At 35.3% G+C, this 18,075-nt stretch overlaps 1 protein-coding gene across 15 annotated transcripts in view; it reads left to right on the top strand.

Moving 5' to 3' along the window:
- Nucleotides 1-18,075, top strand: part of NRXN1 (neurexin 1) — a 1,113,630-nt gene that overhangs the window by 115,624 nt on the left and 979,931 nt on the right. The gene's annotated exons all lie outside the window — the stretch shown is intronic.

Raw genomic sequence — 18,075 nt, 5'->3', positions numbered from 1 at the left:
TTGCAAATGTACTTTTTTAATCTAGATTTTTAACAACCATCAACACTTTTAGGCTTGATAGGAGGCTATTTCCTAAATTGTGCTGGTCAGAGGTTAAAAAACAATGTAATTTTCTATAGTCTTTAGCTCTTAAACTAGATAAATTTGGATCTTTAATTAGAATCATAACATTTTGGAGCAGAGAAGAATATTAGAGATCTTCTAAAAATATAATAATATAATATTGTCCCTCTTTGTGTTACAAGGCATGAAAGGTGACGCTGCTTATTATGATAGGCAAAACTTTGTACAATTTTGAACCAAAATAACTATCATAATATAGAATAGCCAACCTTAAGGAGACTTCAAAGATTTTTCTTCAGTTAAACACTAATAATCATGAAACAGAGTTTCATCTTCTTATTCTTAGTCAATAAATTTAGTGGTAGTATAAAGGAAACCATTCACAGATTTTTATCTAGAATGCCGGTGTCTCTCATTATCAAGATTTTCATTTGAGGGAGTAAAACTCCACCTTGTAACTGATGGGTAATAGTCCTGAAGTCATAAGAGCTGGGTTCATATTCCAGATTTGTTCCTTACTGACCTTGAGTAAATAATTTAGCCTCAAATATCAAAACCTTATGATCTGTAATATGGATTAATAAAAATACTCAATTACTGAGGCTAATGTTACATGACAAATTGCAAAAGTGCATAGAGGAGGCTTTTTATTAATGGTGACAATAAGGAAAAGATACCGTGTGCATTTGGATTAAATGATTTTAAAACGATTGATCTGTAATCTGCCAAAGGTTTAACAAAAACAGTATCATTATCTTAATATCTTCTTTCCATCATATTAATACCCTATTATTTATGATTCTGGCATTGTCTTTGGTTGAAACTAACTAGACACCCATGTCCTGATGATCCGTACTACAGAGAACATTTGTACAAAAAAGTATTAAAGATTGATTATCCTCAATCAAAATTATTTAGATATCTGTTACTCTTTACACTTTAACATTTATCTTACATACAATAATGAGGATGAAATAGGCTTGCCTCCACTTTGAGCAACCCTAGGAAATCATTGGTAAAATGCTGGTTTTCAGATGCAAATTTATTGGTTGAAGGAGGCAGGGAGATAGACATTTTTTCATGGACTGGAGGTACCAATGAGATGAAACTTTTTTTGTAAATTAATGTTTTGCCATACTAATGACTTCACAGAATGATATATAGTTGAGACTGCTGACACCTAGTTATCTGAATACCACATTTTCAAGGAAAAGCTAAGTAGATATATTTCTGAGGTGTCTATATTGGAAAAATAACATATAATTATCTTGAAATAGTTAAATAATTGGCTAGTATTCTCACATACTTCAAGATTTTGCTAAAAATGTTAAGGAGACTAAAACCGACCACCCTGCTTAATACTGCAATTTGGCCGTCTCCTGAACTTCCATACCATGATCTAGTTTCTCTTCATAGAAATTACTATCTTTTAACATACTTTAAAAAAATTCTCATTTATTTTGTTTATTTGTCTTCCTTTCACCAGAGGAAGGAATCTGGTGAAGGCAGAAATCTCTACCCTGCCCTGATGTGTCTCAAGGGTCCCTAGAGCAGTGACTGGCACAAATAGATACTCAATAAATTCTTGTTTAATGATCAACTGGTTGGTTAGCTAAACAAGTTTGTCAAGTTTCCTTTGGGTTTTACTTTGGATATTTTTTCTTTCTCATAGTACACTAATTTTTAAATTTCTTTTTCCTTTTTGCTCCAAGGTAAATCTTTCTATGAAGAATAAACAAAGTCAACGAAAACAAAAAAGTTTTTGTATCGTATTGTGGGTCAAGTGGCCTCAGATTTGACACTTTTTATCTTTCTCATTCCCTGTCCAATGCAAGAAGCCTCTAGAAATTTTGGAAAAGATTTAAAAACCACTTTCACAACCACTGATGGTCAAAGGTTTCTTTTCACATTTTTCTAATTATCTCAGTCTTAAATGAATATTTCTTTAAGAAAGGGACAGTAATTAATCTTTGCATGTCTCTGTGTCTATACAAGTAACAGGAAGAGGATCCTGGAAGTTTGGCTTCTGAATAGCATGATTCATTGCGACGTTTTCAGGAAGGATCTTTTGGCAATTTGTGATGGAAAGTTTCAAAAAATGAAGTAGATCTTATATTTTATGGTCATGTAGCTTATCTTTCACTAAAATAAATATAAATTGATTCATTCTTCCGAGATCATCAAGTAGGCATAAACACCCAAAAGCCTTTGATTTTTCTTTCTCAGCACACAGATACATTATTGTATGTCCAAGTAGATGACTTATCAGTGCGTCCAGGTCCACAGCCGGCTGTCCTAAGCCATAGAACCTGTGCTGAAGAACTACAATGGTAGGAAATCTTCGAATTAAAAAGCATCAACAGTACTACAGTGCCTGAGGCCATATTTTGCTTAAAATGTATGTCCTATTACTTGTCCTTTCGAAAAGAGAGTGAGAGCTAAAGGGTTTCATTCAATCGTAGTCATTATTACTGTAATCACCAAGGAGATTCTGCTTTATGTGGGACTGTTACATGTGGTGTAAAGGCACAGCTTTTCAGAATGGTTGTTTTCACGGTTTATATTAAGAAATGTAGCCACATGTATAATAATAGCTACCATTTTCGGGATGTATTCTTTTGCATTCATATTATACCTACTTATATAAATGCCTATTGCACAAAACTGCAGTTCTCCCTTTCTGTTTGGCTTGTTTGCCATGTACCTACGACCCCATGATAGTCCATTCACAATAGGAGCAGCTGAAGTACTCTCTATTAATTATTCGTGTTAACTTTCAAACAGGTAAAATGCAGGGATATTCAAAGAACTATGAACTGAGACTAATATTTTCTTTCATGTTTAAAATACTATTTTATTGCATAACCCAGGTATAGACTATACAATTACACTACTGAGACAATGAATAAGATAATTCAGAAAATTAAAACAACTTATGCTTTATAAGGAATTTCAAAGCAATATTTTATTCTTTGGCTTGAGTTACCTGGGAAACTGACCCAGTTTTCCCTTTCATTTTCTGGACTTGGCATTATAAAGTCTGTAGACATTTGGAGAAAATTAAATTACTCCATTTAAGGAAACAATCAAATTTAGATTGGGCTAAACTGCTGCTAGAGGGATGGAAATCCCTAAATTGTCCAATTGTGATTCCATTTCACAGGGAAACCCTAGTTCACAAGTTAGCCATAGGATTTCATAGATTGCTAGTAGCAAAATCTGCCAGAAATCTTCCTCTAAACTCAGTGAACAGATAATGTTTGATGCTATACTGACCTAAAAGAATGATGTGATGGCTTTTAACAGCTGTCTTTCAGGTGTTTATTGTTTAAATAAAACAATACCTTGTCTGGCAGTCAGCAGAAATGCGTTTTGAATTGTTTTCTCAGCAGTGTGGTTGGATTTACACTGACCCATCGGTACTTTCAGTGACCAGTGGCATTCTTTTCCAGAGGACTGGCTGAAGTTAAGAGTCTTAAAGAGCAGTTGGATTTGCACTGACCAATGAGGTGGAAGAAGAGAGAAGCTGATTGATCCCAAAGAAAGCCAACACCTAGACTGATGAATGTGAGGACTCTTTGGTTTGGCATTTGTCCTCATTATTTATAGAACGAATGCCAGTTATTAGGCTAGGTTCCAGTTTATTTCTTTTTTTTTTCTTTTTTTTTTTTGTTTAACTACTTTAAGCATGTTATTCCCTGAATAGAGAGAAAGCCCATAGGAGAACCATTCTTTAATCAAACATGTTCAAGTAGCTCACTTCCCTGTCAGAACATCTGAACAGTTGCTCAAACATCAGTGCAAACCTTGAGATCATTACTATTGTTCTACCTAGTAGTTCTCAGAGGGACAGCCCAGAGCAGTTACTCACATGTTTCACTCACATTAAAACATACTTGTCTAGTGTCCCATGTCATCAATTCCCTGTGTAAGAACAGATAAATCAGTTAAAAATATGTGGCACTTTCAAATACTATCATCTTGATTTATTGCAACAGGACAGGACCACTGAGAGATTTATCTTTGGCAAGGGGATAATTTTTGGTACCATCTTAAATCACATGCAATATGTAACCCTCTATGTATAGAGCTTCCCTAAATTCTGAAGTTGAGGAACTCCCACAATCACCTGGGATGCATTTTCTAAAATAGAGATTTTTCAAGGAACTTAACAGAGGATTTTATTCACTAGGTTATGGCAGATTGGCATCCTGTACTTTAAAAGAGATCACTCCTTCCCCCAGAAGATCTAATGCCCAGTCACTTTGTGACTAGTGCTATCAACTCATTGATTTGACCTTTGACCTCCAAAAGCTGAGGACTTAATCTTCATGGTGAGGATTTTTGTTTTTTCCTTGCAGTGACATGTACAACTTGATAACTCACCTCATAATGCTTCTGCATTGAAAGACTTTTTTTGATAATAAAAAGAATAATTATTAACTTGCTTTAAAAGAAGTTGCTCCATTATGAAAGGACTGAAAAAAAATGTAGTTATTCTATTAGATCTACCCTTCATCCCTGAAACTAAATTGTCAGTTTTCACATTAGTAAAGATGTCACTGAGCTCTTTCAAATCTTGTTGTAAAGGTCATTAAAATTTTCATTGTGTAGAGTTCAGACCATGTGCTTTACAAAAAGACAAAACAAAAATCAAATTGAATATGTGGCAACTTTTAAACTTTGTATGTAATGCCCACCTATGGACACTTTGTAATATGTTTTAGGATCATTCTCAATAATGTACAATGGAAAAAGGATCCAGACAAGGAAAAGCTAAACAGCAAATACTGAGCTCACGTTTAAAATCTGGCACAAATATATCTTGATGCAATGGAAAAGGATGATGATAATGACCCTTTTTTCTGGAAATTGTGGAGAAAGAACCATTAAATAAAACAAGAATATGTTGTATGTACAAAATTCAGGCTTTATTGGGGTAGAAATTTGGTCCATGGATTCTACTGAAAAATAATAGACAGTATTCTTATTAGACATTCAGAAATGACAGACTCAGGTATAGAAATTATATGGAAATGTATGGTAAGATTTAAAAAAAAAACTATAAAGGAAGTGGTTGAAAGATTAGTGTGAATACAAGAAAAAGCAGGGAGAGAGTGATGAGGGTGATAAGGTCAAGCTCCTATGGGGACAAGAACACGAGATTGTAATGTTGTCACTGCAAGAGCAAGGTGTTACTCATTTCTCCAAGTAGAAATAGATGTGAAAGAGTAATGACAGCAGCCTGAGAGGGCAACTTTAGGGTCTAGGGAAGCTCTATTCATAGATGGTTACATATTGCATGTGATTTGAGGGGGATCCAAAAATTATCCCCTTGCCAAAGATAAATCTCTCAGTGGTCCCATCTGTTGCAATAAATCATGATGATAGTATTTGAAAGTGCCACATAATTTTAACTGATGTATCTGTTCTTAAGGAGGGATTTGATGATAGGGGACACCAGACAAGTATTTTTTAATGTCAGTGGAACTTGTCAGATGGCATTGTCCAGCCCTTGAGTTAGCCCCAGTGAGATCTGTGCAGAGTTGGAAGCCCTTAGCACATTTGGCATGGCTGATTCCTGGAGTTATAGAGGAAGCAGAATCCAATGATAGACTGAATCTTACTTTTTTGGTCAAAGATTAGCTGTTAGCAGTATATATTCAGTCATTGCGCACACTGGCACTCCTACCCCAAACTAGGAAAGGTGGATTATTCTTTTTTTAGGAACACCATTATACCTAATATTTACCTCTATTATAAAGTTCTTTAGCTGGATTGCATTTATTATTGGTCAGTCACTGTTGTTAGAATGTGATACCCCTGAAGGCAGGGGCTTTGATATTTTCAGTTTTGAATTAAGGGTAGAGCTTGGTACATGAAAGATGCTGAGGAAATCTTGTTGCACAAGCATAGCCAAGGATCATGGAGACTGGAGTTAAGTAGACCCACATTTAGACCCTAGATTCATGATGTATCTGCTGTGTGGCTTTGGGAAAGTTATCTGGCCTCTTTGAAACTCATTTGTCTCATTTGTAAAGCACAGATAGTAAAATCTAAAAATCTCTTTTAGCTATGGGGATGAAGTATATGAATATCGGTAAAGTGTGTAATGTATTTCTAGTGAATAGTGAATGCACAATAGTGGAACATGTGGCAGAGTATTGGGTGTCTAATGATGAGTCAAATAAAATTAATTTTCAAAGGAAACAACTAACTTTTTAAATCACAAACTACATGGAGGAAAGATCAAAAAAGTCAAAGACAGTTATCCTTTGTATACATATTTTTAAAGCTCATTAAATCCCAAATGTTGAGAAAGGAAGTAAAATGGAAGGGGGCAGAAAGAGAATTGCAAAATATTTTTGTGATACATTTTTTTTGTTTCATTTTATGGTGATTTTCATTATTCTTAATTCAAGAAAAAAAAAATAGCTGAGGCTAGTCTAAGAATGCTGACCAGGAAATAATTTTGTCGTAATTTTTGCCTCTAAGTAACAAAGGTGAGATGTTTTCTTTAATTTATTTTTAAATTTCTTTGATTAGGGTATTAAGATCCTGCTTGCAATGAACTAGTTTTAGCATAAATCAGATAAAGCCTTTTGTTCTACACTGCTCAAGAAGAAAAAGCTTAGCTTGCTTTTAACTTGTTTTGCCTAATTGCCTTTCTGCATTAGAAGAGAATATACCATGGAAAAAATATATAATCCCTTCCTGTCCTTCAGCTCCCTTTTTGGGTGTGTTTTGGAGAGTTTGAAATTATATGAAAGTTATGAGAGAGTGAGATAAATATTCAAGAGAAAATTAAGCTTGTTGGGGTGTGGGGGAAGGCGAGATTCCTCACATAATTTGGTAGGTCTGTTAACACTTTAGGACTCAGAGATAACACTTAAGTGAATAGCAATTTACTAGGAGCCAGAAAGTACATGGTAATGTGTTTTAAATCAGTATAATTGTGAAGTCTACCACAATCAGAAAAATCACAGAAATTGCTTTAGAATGGAGAGGGACTTAATTAACAAATAATGAAGTCACAAATTTGACAAAATCTTTAGAAGTCTCCTAGTCCAAATGCCTATTCAAACAAACTCCTCTGCTAGTTAAGTAATGGGTGATGATGTAAACGCTGTTTATGCTTTCAGAAGGCTGTACTTGTTACCTTGTTACCTCATAAAGTCATAATGTTTTAAGGAGAGGTTTAATTATTAAAAAGTTTTTCTTTATTTTAATCAAAATCTGCCTACTGAAACTATTGCCAATCAGCCATCTGCATGTTGTTTTGCTGATTCTTAAGATAGTTATTGAATTTATCCGATGTGCTGTGCTCTGTTTTCAATTTCTCTAGAGTTAAAAACATTATGTCTAATTTCTCATTTACTTAAAAAAATACTTTCTATAAATATATTTCTCCACCCCATCTTTATTTTTTGTTGCTATAAGAAAATACCATAAATGTGTAAGTTATAAAGAAAATAAGTTTATTTCTTATAGTTCTGCAGGCTGGGAAGTCGAAGAGCATGGCACTAGCAACCAGTGAGGGCCTTCTTGCTGCATCATAACATGTGGAGGGCATCACATGGTGAGAGGGTAAGAGAGTCCCTGCCAGCTCAGGTCTCTCTTCCTCTTCTTAAAGCCACCTGTCCCATGAAGGGGGCTCCATACTGATGACCTTATCTAATCCTAATTACCTCCTAAAGGACCCACTTCCAGTCAGCGTATTAATTTGAGGATTAAGTTTTCAACACACAAAATTTGGGGAACACATTCAAACCATAGCAACTCCTATACCCAAATTCAGATTTTTTCTCTTCCATATTTTATTTTTTGGTTCTTTCAAACCATCCTTCACAGTGCTGAAGACCTTACCATCTCTTTGCTGGTTGTCTCCTTCTCCTAATCTTGGCATGCTCTAATTGTCAGGATACCTCTTAAAGCCAAGTCTAAAATTAATTATACTATCCCTGGGTATCTGAGCAAGGCATAGTAAAATGGAAGCATTCTGTGGTTTTGGAAATAATACTTCTGTTAATGCCATCTAAAATCAAAGGTAGGGGTGTGGTTGTGTGTGTGTGTGTGTGTGTGTATGTGTGAATGTGTGTATGTATTTTTGTCAGTGTTACTGTTTTATCAATTCATACTGAACTTTTAGTCAGTTGAAATCTCTAAGTTTTTCCACATGAACTGCTCATAAGTCAGCCTTTCTGTACTCTACTCAAGAGTTGATGTTGTCAGCCCACTTTAAAACATGAAACATTACTATTCAATTCTACCTTCAATCATTAAAAGTAGTAAATTATCTACTAAGGGTCCTATGCAAGATGCTGTGAATACAAACATAAATAAGGCTTGGTATTTGTTCTAGAGGGATTTATAGCTCAGTAGGTGAATACATTTTTACATGGAAGTCTCATCAATAGTTAAAAGCCCTGTAATATAAGTTATTTACAGAAACCAACATTCTTCATTAGCTGAGTCTTGTTGAGTGATGAGTGTTGGCTAGAGTGACATTGTAGTGTATTAGTTTTCTATTGATGCCATAACAAATTACTACAAATGTAATAGCTTAAACAACGTGAATGTATTATCTCACTCTTCTGTAGGTCAGAAGTCTGGCATGGATCCCACTGGGGTAAATTTGATTTGTCATCAATGGTGCATTTCTGTTAGAAGCACTTGCAAAGAATCTGCTTTCTTCCTTTTCTATCTTTTTTGAGGCTGCCTATATTCCTTGGCTGGTGACTCCTTTCTTTCATCTTCAAAGCCAGTAACCTTGCATCTCTCAGACCATTCTTCTGTAGTCACATTTTCCTCTGACTCCTCTTCTGCTGTTTTCTTCCACTTGTAAGGAGCTTGTGACAACATTGGGTCCAGGGTTCTTACCCTATAGTTAGGTCAGCTGATTAGCAAACGTAATTAACATCTTCAACCTTAATTGCCTTTGCTATCTTTAAGGGCAAAAAGAATAAGGGCATCTTTTTCTCACCCTTCGTAAAGGTCACAGCCAACACTGCTGTAATGAAGGACAGATTAACAAGAGAAAAGTATAACAAACTTAGTTAATCAAAGTTTCATGTAACACAGGCACTTTCAGAGTTGAAGACCCAAATACCCAGGGAAAACTGTGTACTTTTTATACTGAGTTTCAGTGAAGAATGAACCGCCATGTAGAAATGTGATTGGACAAAAGAGTATAATCTAATGGTAATAGACTGAGGGGGGAAATCCAGAAAGGTTGGTTTATTTTTTTGTTTTTTTTTTTGGTTTTTTGGTTTTTTTCAGATTCTTCTCTTTGTAGCATTTTTCCCTCCAGAGTATAGGGCAATGAGAGTCTTCAAGGGAAAAGGGAGAGAGTGACCTTTCTACATTTTATGGCTTACTTTAGGGGAGAAGACTTTTAGTTTCTAGACAGACCTTGGAGAAATGCAATTCTGGTTGCTATGACTTGCTTCTGGGGAGAAAGAGGGGTGTGAGAGAGGAGGGCAGGAAAAGGTCAGAGACCTTGTTTCTGAGGCTTTTCCAATTTCCTTCAGTTCCAAGTACTCAGCATGCCAGGGTGCCATACTTTGGGGTATGTTCTGAGCCGCAACACATGTAATCCACATGTAATCCAACCTATTCACAGGTTCTGGAGATTAAGATTTATACATCATTGTGGTGCCATTATATTTGTCTAGCATAGGTAGACACATTTCAGGCAGAAGCATAATGTAAGTATGTAAGAGAAATGCAGGTTGCAAGCAATTGAGTATTAATGCAACAAGGGAACCTAAAGGATGAAACTGGAGAAACAGATAAAGGTCAAGATGATGGAAAGACTTAAGGAACAGGATCAGATTGGTTGTTTCAAAAGATTATTCTGGCAAGAGAACAGATTTAAAAAATGCAGAACCAAAGATAAGAAAACAGCATAGCAACAATTATTTAGTCAAGAAAGATACCAGAAGCTTACACTATTTTCCTAACATCAGAGGTGAAAAATAAGTAATAGATTTGATATGTGCTAAGGAGTTAGGGTCTATGGGTTTGTTGGTTGATTAGTTACAAAGATGTGGGCACGACTGGAGTCAAGACTGCTTCCCAGATTTTCATGAGAAGACTCTAGGTGAATGGTGATGTCATTTATAGTATGGATTACTGAAGAGAAAGTAGAGATGAGGAGTCAAAGGAAGAGAAATGCTTCTGATTTCCATTTTAGTACATGGATATAAGTAAGCTATATTTTCTCCTCGTATGTAATTCTATCCCTGTGTTATCTACAAATATGATATTAATCTACTTGGTATTTTTAATGGAAAAAAGTGTGGTAGAGAATAGAGTCCTCAGAGTGCCAGTAGGGATAACCTTAGTGCCCCTAGTGTAACCACCACTGCCACATCAATCTGAATCCACTATATAACACCATTCAACCAGCTTTGACTCTGTACTATTAGCCAGGTCATATTTCTGCACATATTCCAAAATTTGTCTTAATAAACTTAGTCTAGTGCCTTGCTTAAACATTTAATAGACTGTCTAAATCATGAAGCAATATTGGGGAAGTTATTTCTATTCAATAGTGTTAAATATTTAAGTAATTAATTCACTTTATCTTCCATTTTGATAAACACATCAACCCAGGGAACTCTATGTGTAAATTCTATTCAAAGCCCTTTGTGGAACATAAATACATATGTCATGTTTATAAATATGTAAAATATAAAATATAATGACCATATAGGAGAGCAAGAGATGAATTCTTACTGGAAAAAAAGTGCTTGGATAAGTGGTAGCTGACAGGGAAGAGATGAGAAATGAGGATAGATTCACTGGGAAAGAGGACACCTGAAAGAAAGAACAGTGTCATTAGAAATATTGGAACAGCTTCAAGCAAAGCATGATTATAGTGAGGGATGTTGTGTGGCTGCAACACAAATGTGGCTGCAAGGGAGGTTTGGAATGAAAGAATTGGTAGCTTTCTGGTTCATAGATGTAGTTATTTTTAATTGAATTTGAAAGTCACTGGGCAGCACATAGCCTCTCCAAATTTTCCCTAGGCTCTCTTACTCCCTACTGTGTGCCCTAACCAGACTCACACATTTATGTGTCTTACCAGGTTCCTTAAATAGCTGCATTTATAACCCTGGATTTATAAACTTATTTTGCAGTCAACACACAGTGTGTGTCAGAGGGTTGGGGATGGATGCTGCCATTATCAGAGTCCCACTTTAAAAAGACATCTTAATGGCAGAGTGAATTCCAAATTACAGTGCTGAGGAAAGGTGGGATCATTAGAGGAAGGTGAATAAGCTAAGAGGTTGTTTAAAACGTTAAGATAAAAGTGGGCTGAACTGTGATGATAATATGAGGAAAAGAAGGAAAGGACCAAACATGAGAAACTAGATTTACAATTTCATTAGGACATGGCCTGGGTCTTGTTCTTTCAGTGGGACAAATCACAAAGTAGATAATAAAAAAAATGAATGAATGAAGACATTGGAGTAGTTGAATTGGATGTGAGAAGTGAAAGGAAAGAACTGAAGGCGACTTGAAGAGCCTGGATATAAGTACCCAGAAGGATTATGCTTCTGAAAGTGCCTGTGGGAGAATAACATTCATCTTAGATCAAGTTCTAAGAAGACATCCAGGGAGACAACATTCAGCAGTGATGAAAATATGAATATGGTTCTCAGGATAGAGATTATAATGAAAAGGGAATATGAAAATTAAGAAAGTTTATTTCAACTCAGCAAAAATATTATGTATCTAGATAAAATACAGATTAGTAATCTTTTTAAAAAGAAAGGTCTGATCATTTAATGCAGACAGGTTGTTTCATGGATGGAGAAACTGAATAACAAGTGTTTTGCGTAAAGTTAATCAACTGGTAAATGGGAGAGTTAGCTCTAGCACAGAAAAGGACATTCCTTGTATTGCATCAGCAGTTTACTGCACTACCTCTGACATCCCCTCACAAGTTTCCACACGGTCCCATTCCCTACTTAGAAGAGAACCATTTTACCATCGTTTATGTTCCCAAATATGAACTTGGATACATTTGTAAAATTCACGTATGGACTATTTAATACTTAGGGATTTCAAGATACCTTTTCTAAATTTCAAGACCTAGTAGAAAGAGAGTGGGGCTGCAAGGAAGCCTAGGGTGAAAGCTACCAGCTTTATTTTATGTCATTTTTTAAAATTATTATTATACTTTAATTTCTAGTATTCTGGCCTGGCCACTCTAACTTGTCTCATGTATTTCAGTCAAATTGCTGTTATGGAACAAACTGGATTCTTCAGTTCTAAATTTCACAGAATTATGTAAGGCTAATGGATTTCAGGTCATGCCTTACTGAGCCTAAGGGTTCTGGGGAGGGACCTGAGGACCACTGCTGGGGCTTAAGAGTGCGGAAAGAGCAGGACTTGGAGCCCTTGCCCTGATTCCAGCAGAGACATAGTCTTTTCTCTGTTTTAACATTGGGCTTTCTCCCATGATTGTCTATAAAGGAAGGGTCTCTTATTTTAAAATATTTGATAACTACTGCTAGAGGTTATTAATCTCAGGGCTACAGCCGGCGTTTCAGATCTTACTGTCTTGTATTTGTGGATTATATTAGAACACTCCAAATCTCATTATTTCAAATGAGTAAATCACAGAAGTTCAATTTTATCCTGAAAGTACCTTTGAGCCATTCAGCTCTGAGCCAAGCATCATCTCTCTCTGGCTTTTGCCAACACAGCTCCCTTTGCCTAAGGACGTATTGAGAGGAAATAATTTCAAGTTTTCACAACTAAAGGAGAGGCTTTCCATTAGGAGAAGATACAAGTAAGCCCCATTTTATCCTGTGTTATAATTTACAGAATGCTTATGCACAAGGCCCATAAGGTATGTTGTGGGGGTGGGGCTATGATATTGTGGTACACTGAGAGCACATGTCACTACAAAAAACAAAAACCAAAACAAAAAAACACCTCCCCCAGAATACTTCTATAATAATTCTTCAGTTAAAGATGAATTAACAGTTAGTTACCTCCAAGACCATCAACATAATAGAAACAGTTATTATGCAAAGCTTTATTTGAACCATGTTAATGTCTTCCTATAGTTAGATTGAATTCAGCTTCAGTATGGTTTAGATTGAAGAAAAGTCATTTTGGTCAACAAGACTAAAGAGAGAGTTAAAATTTAGGTTGGCGAGGTCTGGTAGTGAATACCTAGAAAGCAGAGAACATAAAGAGATTGCAAAGGGTCCTCAAATCAATTCCAGTATCTTACTTATTTTAGTTTATCTTTTAAAAAAAGTTCTGGCCCTGTCTAAATAAACATAGCTTTATTCTTCCTGGTAACATTATCTCTGAAAAATAATATATTGGTGCTGGTTGGGAATACATGCCCAATATCTTCTTGAATAAAGTGATATTATTGTAATTTTCTACTTTTCTCAGCAGCTTCATCTTTTATTCATAAATACTTGTTTTTGGTTTGTAAAAGCAGTTTTCTAAATGTACTTCCTCTTCCCTTCCTTATCATTTTCTAATTGTAACAGTAGTAGTAGTTCTGATTTAGGTAAACTTATAGAATAATACATTAAATTAATCTATTAATTCATTTTTGACTTGTAAAAAGCATTTTCTTATCTGTTATAATAACTATCTGAGATAAAGGGACAATGACATTTGACTTCCTTTTTTCAGATAAGAAAAAATAACCAAGATAAAAACTTTTTCACATTACACAGTAAGGAAATAGCAAGTCAGAACCTGATGGTGAAAGCTAAAGCTCCCCACTAAGGTCAAACTACACCATGCATGGGTTTTTACCAGGGTGCTGTAATATATTCTCAGCACTCCCAAGTTACATGGTATCTTAGAAGATCAGGAGATGTACTGTTTCTCAATACATCCAGTGCTGTCTCACAAATTGAATTAGAAAACAAAATTAACTGATATTAAGTTGTTTCACTGGTAGTGTTTTCCAAGATAAGCTAAAATGATTTCTGGTTTAGAGTTATGAAAATCCTGCATTTAGAATTTTTTTATGTAGATCTAGTACATTAATATTTATGACCTCTTTTTTTTTTCAGTTCCCGAGAAAACTTGTTTTTGTTCTTCTTCTATTCTAAACTCAGAATGTGATTCAACATTTGCTTTATTTTTTTTCTAATTTGTGTCTGTTTTTACTTCAGTGATTCTAAGCAAAATGAATAAATGTTTTGGTATAATGAATATTGCTGAGAATAAATGCATTTTCTTTGTCTTGCCCTGGTTAAAGAATATTTCTAGATGCTGATGAGTGAATTAATGATATTTCAGACTCCTCATCATCTAATAAAGCCATCCTTCTCAATGGCCAATTGAGGTTACGCTTTTCTAAAGGAAAAAAATAGTACATTATTACACTCACTTTCTTAATCTAATGGCTCTAACTTTGCTTTGGAGAACTTCATGACTTTCCCACCAAATTCTAGTTTGGTATAGAAGCAAGTAATGTTCTATTCATTAATATGGAAGGACAGCATATGGGAGGTTATTTAACTCCTTAGTGTCTCCATCTTCCATTCGCCATGCGTGTTGCAATGATAAATGAAAACATTTTTAAACATTTTGAAAGCTTGAAAACCTATTTAGTGAATACAAATTAGCACATTATTGCTATAATTCACATTTACTGAAGAACTTGTGGACTATTGGCAGTTTCTTTGGATTGTTGTTTAGTCTGTTTTTGATTACCTACTGGTCAAATCACATTTTTTTCTTAGTGTCACGTGATATCGAACTATTGTTGAACTTTCCTTTTAAGATTGTAAGATTTATTTGAGATCCTTTAATGAAGTTCTTGCTTGTATATAACTTTGTACCAGAACGCCAGGTGGGGAACTTTGAAAGCATAATTAATGTTTTCTCATCTTTATTTTCTTTCTTTTTTTGCGGGGACGGAGTCTCGCTCTGTCACCCAGGCTGGAGTGCAGTGGCGCAATCTCGGCTCACTGCAAGTTCTACCTCCTAGGTTGACGTCATTCTCCTGCCTCAGCCTCCTGAGTAGCTGGGACTACAGGTGCCTCCCACCATGCCTGGCTAATTTTTTTTGTATTTTTAGTAGAGACTGGTTTTCACCATGTTAGCCAGGATGGTCTCGATCTCCTGACCTTGTGATCCGCCCGCCTCAGCCTCCCAAAGTGCTGGGATTACAGGTGTGAGCCACCGTGCCCAGCCTCATCTTTGTTTTCTTTATTGGATATTAATTCATTCTGTTCACTCAGTTCAAATTTATTGAATCCCCTCTTGTGGGCTCAGGGGAACAGGGAAATGAACAGATGAAAATCATGGATCATGGTACTCACATTTTAATGGTATGAAACAAGCATTAACAAAAACAACAAAAGCCAGATAAATAGTGTGTCAGATAGTGATACCTTCTATAGAGAAAAAAATCAGTGAATGGGACACAGGAGTGTACCGATGAGAAAAGGAGGTTTAATTTTTACATGAGGTTGTCAGGTAAGGCCTTCACTGGCAGCATGACATTTGAGAGAATTGAAGAGGTAATTCAATATGAGTTCAGTTTTCTTGATTCTTAGGAGAACCATCTCTTCCTTTCTACCTCCAGTGAGCTCAGTCTAATCCAGGTAGCGCTCATCACCTCGTTCTTGCATTACATCATTCCTGCCAGCTGCTTTAGCTGGTTTCTCTTAGTTAGGTTTCACTCTCTCTGGCTTGTACAACATCACGGAATGCCGTTGCTCAGAAATGTGCAAATGTTCCCTTATTACCTGTCATATCAATTACAGGCTCCTCCACATTATTTTCCTACTATTGAAGAGCCCTATTTATTTAATAATTTTACTTTTAATCCTCACTCTGACAAGTAGGTCTGTTCATGCTATCTTGAGTAAGCCATACTTGTTTCCAATTCTATTTTCTTACTTGTACCCGCCTTCCCACCTGAAATGCCTTCCGTTTTCTAAATATTTTACCCAAGTGAGAGGGTTTGTTTAATTGATACTGACAAATATGCTTATAATAGAAAGTAAAACTGACTTAGACCTAATAACCTCAACTAGAGGCTGATCCCAAGTACATACTACGGGTTCTAGAACTACTGTCCTTAAAGGGTGAACTCCCAGATACTTACCCTTCCACTGGAGAGTTGAAGTGTAATGTGATATAGGATATGGTGAGGTTTGGAGATTTAAAGGATTGGGATCTATTATGCACTTAAAAATCCCACATTGTCCAACATGTTGTGGACACTAGGCCTTTAGGCTGATCCCTGTCACAAAGGGGAAACTGACATTCAGCAAGGTTTAATTTCTTGTGAGTAGCCATGGGGAGATATTATTTCTTTTATTTGTATTGCTCAGCCTTCTCTTGATAATATTCATGTTACTCTAGATTGATTAATTCTCTGATTATTTTATGGTTAGATGCTTAATTTACACACAAAAAAATCCCTTTTGGTATATTTCATGTCTTGTCTCTTCAGTTATTACATATTTTAAAATACCTCTGTGTGCCTAATATCAGTACATCTTCTGTATCTCCCATGACGTCTAATAAACTGCTGTAATTCACATTCAAAAATTCTTTCTAATTAGTTTGATGTGGAAGATTTCAACAACCTGACGTTTATGCTTCTTAAACTGCAGTTCATGTATTTGACATAATTCTGCCAGATATCAAAAGTTCTATAACATCACCAACATGGGGTTACATCAAAGAAAAATAATGTCATAAGAACCTATAAATTCTTTGTATAGTCTGTTGTCACATTTCCCTGCTTGTCTTTCTACAGACTTTCTTTAATACATCCTGCAAAATATTAGAAAAAAACAAATTAACTCTCTCTTCAAGGAAGGCTTTGACATAATCTACCCCCTTTTTTAAATTTTTTAAAAAATTTTCTCTCTGGTAATCTTGTTACTTCACAGGGTTACCCTTATACAGTAATATAAACCTGGGGGAAGCAGGGCCCACATCTACTAATCCTTGTCTGGAGAGAAGAAAATGAAAAGGCCTCTAATGTGGCAGAGGGTGTCCCTAAAATTGAATAAACACAGTGTAGTGGGAAGACCCTCCTTTTAAGACACATCTCACCTTATTCTATTTGTCATTGTCAAAGCATTTAATGTTCCAAGCCTTCTGCAACCAGTTTTATCTGATAACGTTTTCAATTGTACTGCATTGGAAATTGGAGTGAGGTGCACTTCAGAAATTACGGTGGAATCCGGCTAATTCAAATTATTGATGTGGCGATTTGCTGCAGATGGTTAAATTTTGTGAGCTTGGAAGTAAGTGAAAATCAGGATTAAAAGTCAACCTATTGCTTCAGAATATCGTTCATTTATTTTAGCGACTGTAGTTTAATTTTAATTATTTATGTCTCTGCTGAATAGTTCTTCGGCAAATGCTCCATGGAAAATACATCATCTTCTTTTTCAAGCTGTGTCTGCATTCAGAAGTCTTAACTCTCTGTTTGACAGGTATTTCTTTGAGTCATCTATATTAGGAAATAATTTTTAATCTGTCGGCAAGAATCCTGAATTTGCTTTCCAGAATAGGTACTACATTCAAAATCTAGTATGACTTCTTAGGCATTTAATATTCTGAACAGAAAGCTTCCATAGAAATCTTTTATTCTGGTTAAAAAAACCCAACTAAATAATTTACTCTTTTAATTATATTTCACTGTTAATGATGTCCATCAACACTTATTTAAATGTATTTTCAAAGCATTCATTTCTGAAGAATAAATTATAAATGTGCTTTTTATATTAAGCAATTAATTTCATAGGAAAATTAAATTTTTGAAATGTGGGAATTTAGATTGTAGAACAATTGAATGATAACCTCATAGAATATTACAGCAAAGTTGAATCCTAGGAAGAGCACAATATCCCGTTTCATTTTCTACCTCCCTACGGATATATGCATGTCTTTTATTTGACATTTCATAAAAATGTGTTATAATTATTGGTAACCAATAGTAGGATAACTTTGAAAATAAAACTCTTTGAAAAGTGTGTCCTTTTTAAG

This window comes from Homo sapiens, chromosome 2, assembly GCF_000001405.40.
Source record: "Homo sapiens chromosome 2, GRCh38.p14 Primary Assembly".
In the NCBI taxonomy this organism is placed as follows: Eukaryota; Metazoa; Chordata; class Mammalia; order Primates; family Hominidae; genus Homo; species Homo sapiens.
This window is presented reverse-complemented; position numbering and strand designations above follow the sequence as displayed.